This window comes from Homo sapiens, chromosome 8, assembly GCF_000001405.40.
Source record: "Homo sapiens chromosome 8, GRCh38.p14 Primary Assembly".
Taxonomy (NCBI): Eukaryota; Metazoa; Chordata; class Mammalia; order Primates; family Hominidae; genus Homo; species Homo sapiens.
In genome coordinates, this window is record NC_000008.11 from 121,829,876 (window position 1) to 121,845,081 (window position 15,206).

A 15,206-nucleotide genomic window follows, 5' to 3' on the forward strand; every position below is an offset into this window, starting at 1 on the left:
CTTACGGATTGTCTGACTTTAGGCAAAGAGCTTAATGTGCATGAGTTTTATTTTTCCCATCTGTAAAATGGATATTTATGTTTGCAATGATTAACACAATGACTAACACATGGTAGATACTCAATACATTTTTGCTCATTATTTTTCCTTCTAAATGAACACTCTATCACCTGGGATTCCTTGAAACTGCAGTGGGAAGTAGAAAAGCCAGACTGAATAAGATAGCACAGCACCTACAATCACTGAGACTGGCCTAAGATGGAAATGGAGACCGGAAACTTTTAGGCAGCAAGCCATTACTTAAAGCGGCAAATAGGTGTATCTAGCTTAAAAGAGAAAGAAATCTAGCTGTTTATCTAAGCAGTGCCCTCTGGTGGTTAGGATACATGGCTGTAGTTTAAAAAAAATCTAGATCATGGAACAGAATATTAATAAAAATAGCCAGCGTTTGGTGATCACGTTCCATCTTCCAGGGCTTTTAGCAAATAATGTGCAAGTATGAAACCCTGTGAGATATGCATATGCTCTCCCTTTCTGCAAAGGAGGACATCAGTACTTACAGAAGTTGATTAACTCAACCGAGACTGCATAGCTAATTACTGGGGATGCTAGAATTCTGTGATTTAGATATGTTTGATTTATATCTGCTATGCTATTCTGTATGTATGCTATAACTGTATAGAATATAAACAGAATACTGTACTTAGAAGGGTCCTAGAAATAAGCTAGTCCACACCACTTTTGACAGATGAAAGAATAAGAGCCCCAAAGGAGAATTGTACAGTTAACTATTAAACAATTTGAACTAGACTTCTAGGTCCCCTGACTCCCATTTTTTTGTTCTTGTTATTGCACAAAAGTTGCCTGGCCTTATTGGATTTAATTTTCCTTTCTTGCGATTGTTTGACATTTCCCCAGGATAGTAGACGGCCCTCCATATCTTTACAATTTAAAAAAAAAAAAAAAAGCGGGGGCAGGGAATAATCTCTACCAAATTTGACAACTCATTAACTACACTTTATAAAAGACATTTAATTGCTTGCCTTGTATCCTGTTTTCAGCTTTCGTCTCCAGTAGCAAATATCAATTAAATTCTAATAACAAAGAGTCTTACCACAGTTGACAAATAATCCCTTTCAGGAGAATTGCCCTCAGTGACTCTCCACAGGCAAAATTTACAATTCTTTCAGCCACAATTCTTTGCTGCTGTTTCCTCTAACATCAGATGTGACAGGTCTGCCAGGACAAGAAACAGACTTACCCTTTGAGGGCATTTTCCCATATAATGAGGTGGCTCCTGCAGAAATCACACTGCTAGTGGTGGTGACAGGCCACTATAACTCCTGCATGCTGACCATACAGAAACCTATAATTTACCCAGCTGACCAGCATCAGCGTGGGGCCAATTTTCTAGAATGATGTTCTGATTTTGTAGTTAAGTTGTTGACAATAGAATAGTTTATGAATGACAAGGAGGAAAACTAGGTTCCCTCAATAAAAATCTCCGGGAGACAATTTTCACTCAGTCTTGGGTAGCACTTTGTAATAACTAGAGCATATAAATCTGCTGCATACTGCCCAGAATACAGTCACCTCTGATCATGAGATTCAAACAGAGGCTGGTTCAGCATTTGGCCAGAATGTGGTGTAGCTCACTCAAACAGCAGATTGACTAGATAATTTTCAGATTCCTTTTCCAAACCCTAGATATGTTTCCTTGACATAATCATAATTTTTTCTCCATTGCTTTTAATTTGATTAAGCAGTAATGTGCTGTAATTACATAGCCACATTCTTTTAAAAAATCATAAAAACAATGAATCTCTGCCATCAGATGGGTGTACATCAATCAGAGACAACCATTTATTATGTAAAGCATGATGTCTTACAGTTTTGTTGCTAGCTAAAGAATAGTAGTAGAGATCCTAGTTCCAGGGAGTTTAGATGCATGGTTGTCAGGAACACCAGCTGAGTTTCAAGGTGAGATTAGAGGCTCACTGTCTTGTGATCAAAAGATATGGAAAAAATCAGATTATTTCTAATATCTCTTTTAATTATAGTATTCCAACATTCTAGAAATAACTTTAAGATTCTCAGTTGCTAAGTGAGCAAAGGTAACAATAGAATCGATACTGGATTAAGAGCTATGAAATTGTGTGTTTGGTTTCCTTCTTATTCTGTTATATGTACATATAAATCTGACATATGGTTGAATGTTTTATATGTATATAACATTATATATATGACTTTTAAAAAAGAGGCTTATTCATGTCATATGAAGAGCAGTGGACTCAGCTGAACTTTTAAATAAAATGAAAAAATTTATGGATTACATAATCGGTATCTTCAAATCATACAGGTCTAAAATGGGCTGTCACGTCAATGTTATCTGAGTTGTTTTACATGACTCAAATGGATATAAAGTTAAGAGAAAAAAATTCCACATCAATGATGTAACAAAATTGTTACCAAACAGAGCTGTTTGAGGAAAGAATAATCTACCTCATTTTTGTTGTATTCCATATCACCCCAAGTTTCAATATACATTTGATGTGCTCTGGATAGACAGAATATTAAACAGGGATTCAAATATTATTTCTCTTGCCATCCTGAGATTTTTGTCACCCTATGAATCTATTCTATTGTCTTATTTATGAAGTAGCATCAATAGGTTCTTCCGTAATCACTCAAATCCTTTCAGGAAAGTTCGTTACTCTTGGATAATCTCTACAAGCCAAAGAGATTGGTCATGGTCTTGTCTTTGGTCATTTGTAATTCCTGCACTAGCTATTTCACATTGCAGAAAAAGAAATGTTTTCCCCAAAGAAAGTCCCCTTGCAATTAAGTTACACAAAACATGGCGCTCACAGCCCGCAATCTTTAATTCACTCCTCCTGGGTAGAGTCAAACTTCATCATGCCACTAAGTGAAGGGATACCTACCACAGTCAGGAAACTAAGTGGGAAAGTATATCTGTCATAGCCTGTAGCCACCCAGAAGGAGTTCCAAGAATCTTAATCCTTAGTGAACCATGAAACTTCAGGGCAGGCAGCTTGAGCTGGGGATTTGTTTGCCTATGCAAATTCTATCATAAATCACCTCATCCTCAATGAAAAGGCTAAGGCAAAGGCCAAGGTGCTGTGCAGAATTATCACTGGGTCACAAAGACTCAGGATTTATGAGGCAAACCAGCCCTAGATCGGTCCAGTCTTTTATTAAGGTAGTTACTTTAACTCCCATTTGCCAGATGAAGAAACCAAAATTCTAAGTGTAATAGACTTTCCTTAGTTCTAAGAGTTTATGAAGATCAGAAATTTTGCCATCTGGTGCTCTATTTCCTCTCCAACCAATCTGCTTAGGTCAGCAACTTCAATTCCTGTTAATGTTTCAAAAGCCAATTATGGCGGGAAGTATGCTGACACCAGGCCAATGGATAACTCATCATTGCTCCTAATGGCTGACTCTGTAGCTGTGTATCAAAGGCTGTTGCTAAACAGTCATAGGCATTCCTTCACTCACGTCATCAATTCCGTGTTGCCTTGGTGCAGAGTCACAACATGTGTTTTTTGACAAGATGCTTTCTGTTCTAAGGATATTTAATGATTTCTCCCTTCTGGCTCTGAATAGTAATAGTATCACAGTGAAGCAAAAGGGATAAGGGATTTTAAGAGTGATGGGAGTAGTCCAAGAAAAGAAAGAGAGGAAGACAGATAAAATGCAGAAGACACTTAACTATAAATTTCGTCGGTAACATCACAGCTCTGAATTTACAAGCCTATGGCTGGATTTGGAGTTGAAATATTTGAGTTCTGCCTGTCTCTGATACATTCTAGTTCAACCGGCTTAAGTAGAATGTAAGAACTAGTTCTACAGGCTTAAGAACATCATTTACCCTTTGTGAGGCTAAGTTTGCTCACCCTCAGAAAAAGATAAATAACACTTCTTGCCGCCAGCATACATGCATGCAGTCTAGGTGCATGTGAGGTCTGAATTTAATAATATGGCATATGGAAAAGTTCTTCTGAAAATTATCAAATAACAGAAATTGCAAAAGAGATAATGACACCTGAGGTTGCCACCAGGTGTCATCTGATGATGACTCTGAGGGCTGTCACCTCCTCAACCTAGGCCTACTTTTTATAATCTATTTTTTTTTTTTTTTTTGAGACAGAGTCTTGCTCTGTCACCCAGGCTGGAGTGCAGTGGCCAGATCTTGGCTCACTGCAACCTCTGCCTCCTGGGTTCAAGCGATTCTCCTGTCTCAGCCTCCCGAGTAGCTGGGATTACAGGCGCGTACCACCACGCCTGGCTAATTTTTGTATTTTTAGTAGAGAGAGGGTTTTGCCATGTTGGCCAGGCTGGTCTTAAACTCCTGACCTCAGGTGATCTGCCCTCCTCGGCCTCCTAAAATGCTGGGATTACAGGCGTGAGCCACAGCGTTTGGCCTTACTTGTTATAATCTTTATCCTATCCCTTTCCAGTTATGTGGCATTGAACAGTGTATTTAGATTCCCTAAGTTGCATTTTCCTCATCTGTAAAAGTGGGACAACAGTTATTTCTCTATCTTTTTCCCACTGTGATTGTGAGGAAGAGGTGAGCCCAGACATGTGAAATAAAATGCATTGAAACTGGAAACCTGTATTATGTCTACAATTAAAGGAATCTTATTATTACTGAACCTCAGGCTTCCAGAAGAGGCACCTGACCTCTGGGTTCTCTGGTTAGGGAAAGATGTAGAGAGACCTCCCAGGAATTTTATATTCTGTTGCATGTGAAGGAGTAGGGTGAATGCTAAGGACTCTAGGGACATACTGCTTGGATTTGAATCCTGGCCCTGCTAATTCCCAGATGAATGACCTAAGGTAACTTTTTACTTCTCTATGCCTCAGTTTCTTTTTCTATTAAATTGCAATAAAAATATAAACTCACAAAGTTATTTTAACGATTAAATGAGCTTATCTATATGAAGAGCATAAGCAATGCACAGCACACCAAGAATACCTTCTAAGTACTAGATACTGCTATTAAATTATCCCCTTCCCTCAGCTCAGTTTGGACCCCTTCCCTCAACATTAACTTGCATAGATTTGCCTCTGGGACCAGGGCATGAAAAGGCAGGTTCGTTTTTATCTCTTACGTTGCCTGCCAGGATTTGCATCATCTAAGGACTCTGCTTAATCCAGGAGGTTCAGAAACTAACTGTTGCAAATTTTATTCCAGTTCTCTGTCATTTTAAGTGCTCCAGTAGAACCCCGAATAAAAGGGTCACCCGAGGCAAGTGTGACCATGTTCTCCCTAAGATATGGGGAAGAGTCTGGTTGGAGTCATGTGAATTGTCCAAATCAGAAGGTGGACAGAGAATTGCTTAGAAATTAAGTGTATGGCTCTTTTCCCTCTTCCTTGACTCAATGAATTCCTCTATACTTCTGCAAAATAAGACAGTGTCTTTGCAATATTTCTAGCCAATGTGCGTATATTGAATCCCACTAATTTTGCCAATACCCATTTCTCATATCTGTTATGCTGTAGTTTCACCAATTAAACTCCCATTTTAACAGCCATTAGATAAACTAATATGCTCTTTGTTCTTGAATGGAGATGAAAAGAGCTGATACATTTCTGGTAGCTGCCTCTAAGATAGGGTTTATGATCCAAAGTCTTGGGCGTACATTTCCAATTAGACCAAGTATTCAACCCTAGGGTGAAGATCAGAGATTAAAATTATCATCATCCTCCAAGCACTCCCCCACCATATACTGGTTAGGCTGTAGTAATTTTCTAGAGTAAGTTATAAACCACAGAACAATTACAGTGGGTGCAACTAATATATTTCAGAGAATGGTACTGCATTTGAATCATTCTGTTTAAGAACTTCTCAAAAAGTTTCTTCTAGCTTTTTGGCCTCATCATCATCATGATCAAAGAGATGTTTGGAATAAATTCAAATTTTTAGACAACTTTCTTTAACTAAATAATTGTGAGTCATTGTTCTCCTTCAAGCACCACTAGCTCCAGCCATACTACTGCTCATATAAAACCGATGCCTTTTAATTTTTTTTTTTAACTTTGTCTCCACTGGTACTTTTATCTTGAATGTCTCTTCCCACTCACTTAAACATGCTAATATCCATCCCTTTGACAAAATGTCTCTGATTCTCCCAATATAAAACTCCCACTTTCATTATAACACTTACCATTCTAACTTCTAATTTAATTATGTGAGTATTTGCCTATATCAGACTTCAGATTCCTGCAGGCAAGTAGATATGTCTAATCCATCTCTGAAGTCATCTAGAAAACACACAGTGCCTTGCTCAAATTAGTCAATCAATAACTGCTTATGGAAAAGACCCATTTCTAGTAGAGTAGAAAAAAGACCAGAATTATTTGAGTGTCATCTTGCCCATTATCAGGTATGTGAACTTGTGAGAAACTCTAATTTTTCATCTATAAATTGTGAACAATTATTTCAGGGTTGTTATAAGAGTTAAATGAAAATGAAATAAAATAAAATGAAAATGCCTCATTGATTGTGAATATAAAATATTACTTGTTTTCCCATTCAAAGGATTCTGCAATTCATAGAATTCACAGAATTAAAGACTCTTCAATAAAAACAAGAGGGCTAGGAAGAAGAAATTATTTAGATTAAAACTAGCATGCAGATTCCATGACTGTCCGTTCCATGTTAATTTCCTACTTTCTCCTTTTGTGATCTAGTATTTTAAAAACTACATGGTGTTCTGGAAAAGACCCTGAGGTTTGTAAACAGTCATCTAAATATGTTTTTAGTCTGTGTTATATTTTAAAGAAAATGTGGTTCTTTCAAAATATGGCTTTAATGCTGATCACTGCAGATGGGTGATATGGTTTGGCCATATCATCCATTTGGGTTTGACCCAAATCTCATCTTGAATTGTAACTCCCACAATTCCCACGTCTTGGGAGGAACCCAGTGGGAGGTGTTTGAATTATGGGGGTGGGTCTTTCCTGCGCTGTTTTCGTGATAGTGAATGAGTCTCACAAGATCTGATGATTTTAAAAATGGGAGTTTCCCCACAGAAGTTCTCTCTTTGCCTGCTGCCATCCATGTAAGATGTGACTTGCTCCTCCTTGCCTTCTGCCATGATGGTGGGGCCTCCCCAGTCATGTGGGACTGTAAGTCCATTAAACCTTTCTTTTGTAAATTGCCCAGTCTTGGGTATGTCTTTATCAGTAACATGAAAACAGACTAATACAATGGGATATTTTGCTAGATTATTCTTCATACTAAGCATTTCAAAAGTGAAAGTGTCAATATAGTAAAACTTCTGTAGGAAAGGAGGAAAGCTTCCTCTTGATCAGATTTTTTTTTTGGCCTTTTTTTTTTTCTCTCTAATAACAATGTTTATATCTCATAGATCTGCACTGGCTTTCTTGGAAAACTCATTTTATGTTCTTGCCTTATATTTAGGTGAAGTTATATCCTGTAACCCCCCAAAAGTCAACCTTTCATGCTCATAGGGTTGTTATGAAAACTAATTAGTATTAGCTGGGCGCGGTGGCCCATGCCTGTAATCCCAGCACTTTGGGAGGCTGAGGTGGGTGGATCATGAGGTCAGTCATTCAAGACCAGCCTGGCCAACATAGTGAAACCCCCTCTCTACTAAAAATACAAAAAATTATCTGGGTGTGGTGGCGGGTGCCTGTAATCCCAGCTACTCGGGAGGCTGAGGCAGGAGAATTGCTTGAACCTGGGAGGTGGAGGTTGCAGTGAGCTGAGATCACACCACTGCACTCCAGCCCAGGCAACAGTGCGAGACTCCATCTCAAACAAACAAACAAACAAACAAAACTAAACAGTGTAAATGATGATTTTCTTGTATGTAGTTGATTAAACATTTAGTTAAACAACAAAAGAAGATTTGTTAGGGCCCCAGTGGTCTTCAGAATCAAACAATTTTGGTTTGAATCCAGTATTCACCATTCACCAGTTGTTGGCTTTAGGCAAGGTAATCAACCTGTTTATTGCTCATTTTCTTCATCATAAAATTAGAATAAAAAACAGAGACTTAATATTATTGCCTTGAGGATATATGTATATTTCCTAATACAGTTCCAGTCGTATAGTAGGCTCTCAATAAATAGCAACTGCTTTAAAAATATATACTTATGAGAGTCTTCATAGCTATACCTCTGCCAGCCATTAATGGGAGCAGGATTTGGGCTCTCCCATTTATGGGAGTTTTATGCTGTATACACTAGAGCAGTGTTGACATAATTTAGGCTTAGTAAATGTTTGGTGAACCAGAAGATGAATAGAGGCCTCATGTAACTCCCAGCCATGTCTTCAAATCTTAACATTTAAATCATATCAGCCCTCTGTGACTTTGTGTAATGATAGTCTGGGGACATGCAATGGCCCAGTGCAAATAAAAATTGAAACATTTTCAACATTTTCTCCTATTAGCAATGTTTTTACAAAGAAATTTTCTAGTCTTAAATAAGCACTTACATAAGAAGTGGTGAGAATAAAGTAAATCAGCATATACTTTGATGAAAATGGAATTGCCAGAGCTGTTATCTAAATTAAGTTGGAAATGTGAGTGATGATGTGAGTGTTATGAGTGGATTCACACAATTTTTGTTTTTGGACCTCTAAATGATGTCATCAGCCTTTCCTCCTTGTGCTTTCTGCCATCTTCAGTGATTCTGTAATGCCACATAGTTGGATACTGAAGTATCAACTTAACTCATTTCAAATCACAGATTCAGTGTCCTCTGCTCACATAGAAATGGAACCACCCTCCTTGCCATTTACAATAACTCCTGACCATCCAGCTATGAGGTGCCCATGATTGTACTGACAGTTCCCAAAGTTCAACCACCCATGTTCTCATCATATATAGATAATACATATCTGTCTTCCATATTGAAGTTTTCATAGCTTTTCATATCGATTCTCTCATACAGTCCTTATAACCAATCTGTGGAGGTGGCTGAAAAAGTATGACATCATTATTTTAGAGATAAAGAAACTGAAGTTAATCTAGGTGTTACCATTTTAGAGAGAGAAACTTGGTGGTCTCAGTAAAACTTGGCCCTAGTTTCACCTTTGAAATGAATTCATTGTTATGGGCATTCATGCTGTTTAGGTCTAAATCTACTCCTCTGTTACATGCCAAATGGATTTCTTGGTTTGTTTCCAACAATAACATCCAATGTTTCCTAACTATTCCAAATACAATTCAGATAAAAATGTTATGGTGGCAGTAGTAGAATCTAAGTCTTCTGAGCCCTACTCAAGTCATTTTTCTAGAGAGCTGCCAATGGCCAACATGAAGACAGAGTCCTGGGCATGTCCTTTATGCCAGAGGTTTCCAGATATGGATGCTTAGCAGATTTACCTATTTTTGTTAAAAATACAAACTCTGGAGTTCATTCTCAATGATTCTGATTGTGTAGGTCTGGTTTTTAAGCCTATGTTGAAACCTGATGATTTAGGACATGAAAAAGACTCCTAAATGTATTGGTTTCATGGCCTTTCCTTGAAGTGGTGCCAATACAGTAACCTGGCTGTCATTTGACTCTGATGTAGACCAAGTCAATGGCCTTAAAAGGATCTACTGGGGATATTAAGGTGCATTCTTCAAGTTCCATTTTTTTTTCTAGGAAATCTGATATCCAACTCACAATTTTCTCCCATTTTAAGGCGGGGTCTTGGGGATGGACAAAATAGGGTGAATGAGCATGCTATTCTGGATCCCAGAGCCATCTCTGGAGAGAGAAATCATACTGAATCAAATCACCTTCCCCACAAATATCTTTCAGAAGGAATAAATTAATATGGTTAGTTGCTACCAAACAATTGACTTTCAGACAATGACCTTTACCTTCTCACTTCTCTCACTGAGATAAAGTGAAGGGCAGCCCCATGGCTCCTGCTGTTAAGTGGAACCTAAGTGGAAGAGAAGAGGGACCAATGTTTCTGAGCTGATAATCACCTAGAAAAGGTACTTAACAGAGTCCAGAAGGGATTTCAGTTGAGGTTTTGGCTAATGTCAAAAATATTCTGTTTCAAGATTTCTCCAGGTTGTACAAAGTAGCATATAAAGCTTGAAAAAATAAAGGTAAGCTAAAGAAATCATAGTATAACATGTATGTATTTTTTCTTCTTGTAAATAATATACTAATTTTTTTTCTGATTTTTTTTTCATAAAATAAGCTAATAGAAAAGACCAAAATAGCACAGGTCTTGGAGTAACCATCTGTCTTGGCCACACATGGAAAAAAATGAACAACCTGCATTGATAGTGACCTTTTGCTCAGACCATGTGCCTGAGGAGGTGACACTGAACAGTAGAAAGTCAGACACATCAAGATCTGAATGCTAAGTCTGTCATTACTATGTGTGTGACTTTGGACACAATCACCATCCACCAGAGTTATTGTATTAAGTCTCCTAACTAGTTCCCTGCTTTTGTTACTGTTCTTCAGTCTATTCTTGGCAGTCATAGTCTTCTAGTCTATTCAATCTATTCTTCTTCTTCAGTCTATCTCAGCAGCCAAAGAGATCTGGTTGGAGTGCAAGCCAGGTCATTCTACTGTGCTACTCACCTCATTCTAATGACTACCCATCTTCCTCAGAGTAAAAGCCAAAGTTCTTACAATGGCTTATGATGCCCCATATGATCTCATGCCCCATTGTTTCTTCCTAATCTTACTTTGTACTTAATGTTGTTCACTGTGCTTCAACTATTCTAGTCTCTTTAGTATTCCTCAAACATACCAAGAACTCGCTTAGTTTGGAGCTTTACACATTTTCTTCACTCTGCCCTGACTTCTTTTCTTCAGGCATCTATGTGGCTTACTCCTTCATATCCTTCAGGTCTTTTTTTTACAAACTTTTCCTTCTCAGTAGAACATTTCTTAACCAGTCCATTTAAAATCACTTTTCCCCACAACATGCTCTGTCTCATTTCATGTTGGCATTTTTTTCCCTTTCTTTATCTCTTCTCACCATCCAACATATTATATATTACTTGTGTCATTTATTATTTGTCTCTTTTCAGTGGAATGTAAACTTTATGAGAACAGATAATTTGTTGGTTATGCTCATTGATCAATTCTTAGCATCTGGAGTTAATGCCTAGCATATGGTATGCCGATATGGTTTGGCTGTGTCCCTACCCAAATCTCATTTTGAATTATAGGTCCCATAATCCCCATGTGTTGTGGGAGGAATCCAGTGGGAGGTAGTTGATTCTTGGGCCCGGTTACCCTCATGCTGCTGTTCTTGTGATAGTGAGCGAGTTCTCATGAGATCTGATGGTTTTATAAGGGGCTTTTCCCTCTTTTGCCCAGCACTTCTCCTTCCTACCATCACATGAAGAAGGACATGTTTGCTTCCCCTTCTGTCATGATTGTAAGTTTCCTGAGGCCTCTCCAGCCACACTGAACTGTGAGTCAATTAAACCTCTTTCCTTTATAAATACCCAGTCCCAGGTATGTCTTTCTTAGCAGCATGAGAACAGACTAATGCAGTAAATTGGTACCACAGAGAGTGGGGTGCTGCTATAAAGATACGTAAAAATGTGGAAGTGACTCTGGAACTGGGTAACAAGCAGAGGTTGGAATAGTTTGGAGGGCTCAGAAGACAGAAAGAGGGGGGAAAGTTTGGAACTTCCTAGAGACTAGTTGAATATCTTTGACCAAAATGCTAATAGTGATATGGACAATGAAGTCCAGGCTGAGGTGGTCTCAGATGGAGATGAGGAACTTGTTGAGAACTGGAATAAAGGTGACACTTGCTATGGTTTAGCAAAGAGACTGGTGACATTTTGCCCCGCCATAGAGATCTGTCAAACTTTGAACTTAAGAGAGATGATTTGGGGTATTTGGCAGAAGAAATTTCTAAGCAGCAAAGTGTACAAGATGCGACTTGGGTGCTGTTAAAAGCATTCAATTTTATGTATTCACAAAGATATGGTTTGGAATTGGAACTTATGTTTAAAAGAGAAGCAGAGCATAAAATTACAGAAAATTTACAGCTTGATGATGCAATAGAAAAGAAAAACTCATTTTCTGAGTAGAAATTCAAGCCAGCTGCAGAAATTTGCATAACTAGCAGCAAGGAGCCAAAAGTTAATTGCCAAGACAATGGGGAAAATGTTTCCAAGGCATGTCAGAGGTCTTCACGGCAGCTTCTCCCATCACAGGCCCAGAGACCTAGGAGGAAAAAATGGTTTCATGGGTGGGGCCCAGGGCCTTGTGGCTTTGGGCAGTCTCAGGACTTGGTGCCCTGTGTCTTTTAGCTGTGACTAAAAGAGGCCAAGGTACAGCTCAAGCCATGGCTTCAGAGGGTGCAAGTCCCAAGCCCTGACAGCTTGCACATTGTGTTGAGCCTGTGGGTGCACAGAAGTCAAGAATTCAAGTTTGGGAACCTCCACCTAGATTTCAGAGGATGTATGGAAATGCCTGGATGTCCAGGCAGAAGTTTGCTGCAGGGGCAGGGCCCTCATGGAGAACCTTGGCTAGGCCAGTGCAGAAGGGAAATGTGGGTTTGGAGAGCCCACACAGAGTCCCCACTGGGGCATTCCCTAGTAGACCTGTCCTCCAGACCTCAAACACAGGTCTGCCTGAGAGTGCCCCATTGTCCTCCAGACCCCAGAATGGTAGATCCACTGACAGCTTGCACCATGCACCTGGAAAAGCCACAGACACTCAATGCCATCCTATGAAGGAAGCTTGGAGTGGGGCTGTACCCTGCAAAGTCACAGGGGCAGAACTTCCTAAGGCCATAGGAGCCCACCTCTTGCATCAGTGTGACCTGAATGTGAGACAGGAAGTCAAAGTAGATAATTTCAGAGCTTTAAGATTTGACTGCTTTGCTGGATTTTGGACTTGCATGGGGCCTGTAGCCCCTTTGTTTCAGTAAATTTCTCCCATTTGGAATAGGTGTGTTTACCCAATGCTTGTACCCCATTGTATCTAGGAAATAACTAACTTGCTTTTGTTTGTACAGGCTCATAGGTGGAAGGAATTTGCCTTTCTCAGATGAGACTTTGGACTTGGACTTTTGGGTTAAAGCCAGAATTAGTTAAGACTTGGGGGGAAGGGGGCTGTTGGAAAGGCATAATTGTGTTTTGAAATGTGAGGACATGAGATTTGGGAGGGGCTGGGGTGGAATGATATGGTTTGGCTGGTGTCCCCACCCAAATCTCATCTTGAATTGTAGTTCTCATAATCCCCACATGTCATGGGAGGGACCCAGTGGGAGGTAATTGAATCATGGGGGTGGTTACCCCCAGGCTGCTGTTCTTGTGATAGTGAGTGAGTTCTCATGAGATCTGATGGTTTTATAAGGGGCTTTTCCCCTTTTTGCTTAGCACTTCTCCTTTCTGCCATCATGTGAAGGACATGTTTACTTCCCCTTCCACCATGATTGCAAGTTTCCTGAGGCCCCCCTACACATGCTGAACTGTGAGCCAATTAAACCTCTTTCCTTTATAAATTACCAAGTCTCAGGTATGTCTTCATTAGCAGCATGAGAAGGAACAAATACATAGGCATTTGGTAAATATTTAATGAATGAATGAAGGAGATAATGAATAAATTAAAGATAGTGGGATTCTGACAGATTTACTTCCTCATCCGTGAAATGGGAATGATACCTGCTAGCATAGCCCTATTGCATTTTAGGCATGTAATTCATCACACATCTCTTCCTCTACATCTAGGCCTATATAGGATTATTTTCTATCATCTACATCCTGAGAATAGAGTTAAAAATAAATCCCTCCTTAAAACAGCAGCATTCCAACTCCACAGTTCCACTATCTAGATTTCATTTTGCAAATTAGCTTGACAAATACACTATTTCTATTTGGTTTGTCCTATTTTACAGAGTAGATGCTCAGTATATCTTAATTTCATTTTTCTTTCTCCCTTCATTTTTTATGTACATAAACACTGTCTCAGCAAATAAGTTCCTTTTACAGATTTTTTGCTCATTTTGGTAAAATCTAAAATACTATAATTCAAGTACTAAGCAGAGATTCAATCAATGTTGGCTTAAATATATATAAAAGACAAGAAATTTAATAATAACATCTTTCTCTTTGCAGAAATGCAGATGGTCAGAATGCCTTGTTTGGCCATTCCCAAGTATGAGTTATTGTCAGGGAAAGTGTGGACCCAGCTAGAACAGCAATGATTTTGCAGTATACACCTCCTGGCTGCTTACATCCCTGAAAGGCAGTGAACAAAGGCACAGCAGGCCCCGGGGTTGCTTTGGTTAGATTCTGCTATCCGCAGAGATCTTTTGGTGACCACATACACGTTTCAGTTTATTTATCTAAGGGCTCCTCTTGTAGGGCCAGACCAGGGAAAAAGGGAAAAGGGAGGCCAGATGTGTTAAGGATGGCAAGTGCCTGGAAAGCCTTGGATTGGGTTTCAGTTAGTAATTATAAAATGCTAAGTATAATCCAGGGTATTCTAGTTTCCCTTCCCAGACCACAGACCCCTGGGGGAAAGTACACTATAACAAATAAAGGTGCTCTCTCAGCACACTGGGAAGTATTCGCAGATTTTCAGATATTTTTTCATTGAAGAATCCAAACTTGAATTGAGTCATATTTGGGAAGTGTGTCTGACCTACATAACAATGATGAGTGCAAAATGGTTTGTAAGTAAGATCCCAAGCTTCAGAGGCCTGAGTAATGTTGCCCACACCGCTCAGTATGGGGTCCTCTTCCCTTTAGGCACAACATAGAAATTGTATAACAACAGCTAAAAGCTTCCTTCTTACGTTGCAATGAGGCTAAAAACACAGAGCAGCTACAAAGAGGAGCACTCAGGGGAAGAAATCTTTAAGACATTATTATTAGGTTGGCACAATTACTTTTGCACAAACCTAATAGTATGTAGAAAATAAGATACTGGATATTGTAAAATAGAGAATTATTAAAGAAAAAGCGGTCTCCTTGAGATGTGTGTAATAAAAATGAAGAACAAAAGAGGTAAAAATATTGGTGATACAATACTACAAAAGAATCAGCTAAATTTTCCACTGCTATATGGCTAGCCCTGCATGAGGCATTCTATATAATGATTTCAATTAATCAAAATAGTAATCTTAATTTTTTTTTTTTTTTTTTTGAGACAGAGTCTGGCTCTGTCGCCCAGGTGGGAGTGCAGTGCCACGATCTCGGCTCACTGCAAGCTC

The 15,206-nt window shown here is 39.0% G+C and overlaps 1 annotated feature.

The window, feature by feature from the left end:
- Window positions 14,068–14,582: an enhancer, noted in NCBI's record as "NANOG hESC enhancer chr8:122856182-122856696 (GRCh37/hg19 assembly coordinates)". NCBI's record gives its function as "activates a minimal SCP1, AML or CMV promoter by ChIP-STARR-seq in naive H9 embryonic stem cells {active_cell/tissue: H9 hESC(naive)}" and the evidence as "EXISTENCE:reporter gene assay evidence [ECO:0000049][PMID:30033119]".